Genomic DNA, 2932 nt, shown 5'->3' on the forward strand with positions numbered 1-2932 from the left:
TTAGGAGAAACACCTAATGTAAATGATGAGTTAATGGGTGCAGCACACCAACATGGCATATGGATACCTATGTAACAAACCTGCACGTTGTGCACATGTACCCTAGAACTTGGAGTATAATAAAACATAAAAATAAAAAAAGAGCTTTAGTATCTTACAAAAAAAATGAAGACAATACTTTCAAAGGTCAGGGAGATGCTCTTGGTCTTTAAACTGTTCCCACTTAGTGACAGGTTATCCACACGTTCTTGGTGCATTCCCCATGCCTCTTTCCAATCCCATCATATAATGACCAACTTTATAGGGGCTCATGAAAATGGTGTTGGCCGCAGTGGTTGGCAATATATTGTTACGGTGCCCATGAGAGAAGCCCCCTACCCATCACCACCCACTCAATGAGTCCTCAGTGGTCGCTAAAAAACTTAGCTCTTTACAACCAGCTGTTCAGGTTAATCAGGGAAAAAAAAAAAAAAAAAAAAAAAGAGTTACAAGCCAAGCATAATCTGTGGCCCACACTTTTTCCAGAAAGAGTTTTGAGCACTTCAATATTTAAAGGGGGAAGGCAGGCAGGAAGGGAAGGAGGAAAGAAAAAAAAGGTGGGAGGAGGTAGACAAATGAGACAGGTCATTACATTCCTTTGAGGTTTTGATTAGCACTCACTGAATCCACATGTTGCATGTGAAAAGGAGGGGGTAAAAGAACAATCAAGTACTTATTCATGTCATGCTTAGTAAATCTGCACTTTACATAAGATAAATACAGAGCAGAGGAAGATGACAAATATATATTCCTCTACAGGTGGTGGAGGGAGGATTCCTAGTCTCCTCTTGCCTCATGAAGATAAGCTGTTAGTTTTACATTGTCAGGGTGAGGGAAGCTATCTGGGGAGATACGTAGCCTTCTATCTTGTAGCTGTGTATTTAGGAACAAAAGGAAAGGCAGTTTTCTGCAAGCCTCAGCCTCCAAGCTTAACTGTTCCTTTTGGCATAGTAAGTTTGGGGTCCCGATATTTTATTTTCCTTTCATATCTATTTTTTTTCTATATGTAATTTCTTATCCCCCGATCTTTCACTCTGTCTTCAAATTTGAAGTTGATAACACAAATTCTTTGGCTTCTGGGGAAAAGCTATAGCCTGAAATTCTCTAAATAAATTAATTTGGTTTTATGATTTAACTGTTCTCTATGAGAGTAATCTGATCTTTGCCCTGAGGCATTTGAAGCTTCTGAGAATTTTTAGCAATAAATGGGAAAGGTACACTCTCATTTTTGTCTTGGACAAAATGCTGAGTTTTGATAGAGTGTTGCCTCTCAATTATAGCTTTTACTGTTTGAGCTTCATCGCATCAAGGCCCAAAGTTACAGAATGTGTTTACTTCATTTTATTTCTGCTGTTCAGCAATCCCTTTCTTCACTCATCTTTCTGGTAATGCTTGATAAAATTTAGTCAATAAAACCCCAAAACACAAACTTTGTTTTTTGATCTCTTTCCCTACAGCTACAAAATAATTGGACATGCAATCTGCCTCACAAGATATTTCACAGATATGTTGTTGCCAACCATTCCACTACTGCTCAAGAGTGACATCTACAGCTTTTCCTGATTGTATCCTCCACTCCCTAAGGAGAAGCTGTGTCACACAATCACTTAATTGAGGTGGCATTCTACTGAAAGCAAGACCTGTATTAGGCAGGCAATGCCAGATAATGCTTAGTATCAAAGAAACCAAAAGTATTAGTGGCTTAAAATAAACACATATTTTATTTGTTCTTCATGTCCAACTCAGGTCCTTGGTTGAGCTACACTCTACATTATTACTCGAAATCCAAAGCTATTAAAGATTCATGACCTAGAAGGCTTAGCTACAGTAGAAGCCAAAAGAGAATTACAGAAGATTAGATGGTGGCTTTTTCATGTTTTGTTGGTTACTACTGTTTAGATGATCAATAAAACAGTCTTAAACACCTCATCAAACCCACAGAACATCAGAAAGGATTTTTTCCCCTTCCCTCCCATCTAGGCCCCCCTCCGACCTCCCTTTCCTAAGAGCATTTACTTTAGGGAATTTGCGATTGTAAATTATTTGTCTGCCCTTTGAGATGTAAATCTTTTTCACAGCCACTTTTACAACCCAAAATGATTTTTTCCCAAGGATCTGGGAGCCATCCTTTTGAAATGTAAATATCAAGGAAAAGAGTGATCCTATCTCCTAATCTACGTGTGAGGTTAGATGCCTAATTTAGATGAACACCTCCCTCTACTGCATGTTGTAAATTTGCCTGCTGTCATGAAAATACAAGAAAGTTTACTTTTCCTTTGAGTAAAGTTAATTAGCAAACACAAATGGCCTAAAATCCTCCCACTTCCTTCTTAAAAACTCTCCTCTGAGCACTTATGCTCAGATTGAGTTCTGACTTCTCTCCTGTACTGTAAATAAAGCCTTCCTGGCATGTTTAACTTTGTCTGGTGCAAATGTTGTGTTGACAATGGAAACAAGTAATTATAAGAATAGAAAAATAATAAGAGAACAAAAGGAATATTTAGTGAACAGTGCTGTCTCTTTTATAATGTACCAGAGGCAACAAGTCTGTACTCACCATATATTATACATATATAACACTGTCTACACCTGAAATTCCAGAAATTAGTAGCAAATATATATCTCTTGTAAGGTAGGTTTATGGCAAATTTTCTTAATTCATGGGGGCTAAACCCAGGATGAAAAGAACAGTGATTAAAAAAAGAAAAAGCCCCAAATCTAGAATCTACTCATTTCATAGACACTAACATTTTAGAAGGGCCTTTGGAATTAAGTAATTTATTTTTTCAAAATGTTGTGTTTCTTTCTCATCTGTACCACCCACATCACTACATTAGTTTCTTCTGCACATATCTAAAGTAACTTCAATATCTCTGTAAGAAGTTTCCTAAAG

General features: G+C 37.3%; 3 annotated features.

Annotated features, from left to right (window-relative positions):
- Window positions 361-895: an enhancer, noted in NCBI's record as "OCT4-NANOG-H3K27ac hESC enhancer chr13:82560263-82560797 (GRCh37/hg19 assembly coordinates)". NCBI's record gives its function as "activates a minimal SCP1, AML or CMV promoter by ChIP-STARR-seq in naive H9 embryonic stem cells {active_cell/tissue: H9 hESC(naive)}" and the evidence as "EXISTENCE:reporter gene assay evidence [ECO:0000049][PMID:30033119]".
- Window positions 1469-2040: an enhancer, noted in NCBI's record as "OCT4-NANOG hESC enhancer chr13:82561371-82561942 (GRCh37/hg19 assembly coordinates)". NCBI's record gives its function as "activates a minimal SCP1, AML or CMV promoter by ChIP-STARR-seq in naive H9 embryonic stem cells {active_cell/tissue: H9 hESC(naive)}" and the evidence as "EXISTENCE:reporter gene assay evidence [ECO:0000049][PMID:30033119]".
- Window positions 2041-2611: an enhancer, noted in NCBI's record as "OCT4-NANOG hESC enhancer chr13:82561943-82562513 (GRCh37/hg19 assembly coordinates)". NCBI's record gives its function as "activates a minimal SCP1, AML or CMV promoter by ChIP-STARR-seq in naive and primed H9 embryonic stem cells {active_cell/tissue: H9 hESC(naive and primed)}" and the evidence as "EXISTENCE:reporter gene assay evidence [ECO:0000049][PMID:30033119]".

This window comes from Homo sapiens, chromosome 13 (assembly GCF_000001405.40).
Source record: "Homo sapiens chromosome 13, GRCh38.p14 Primary Assembly".
NCBI classification, from domain to species: domain Eukaryota; kingdom Metazoa; phylum Chordata; class Mammalia; order Primates; family Hominidae; genus Homo; species Homo sapiens.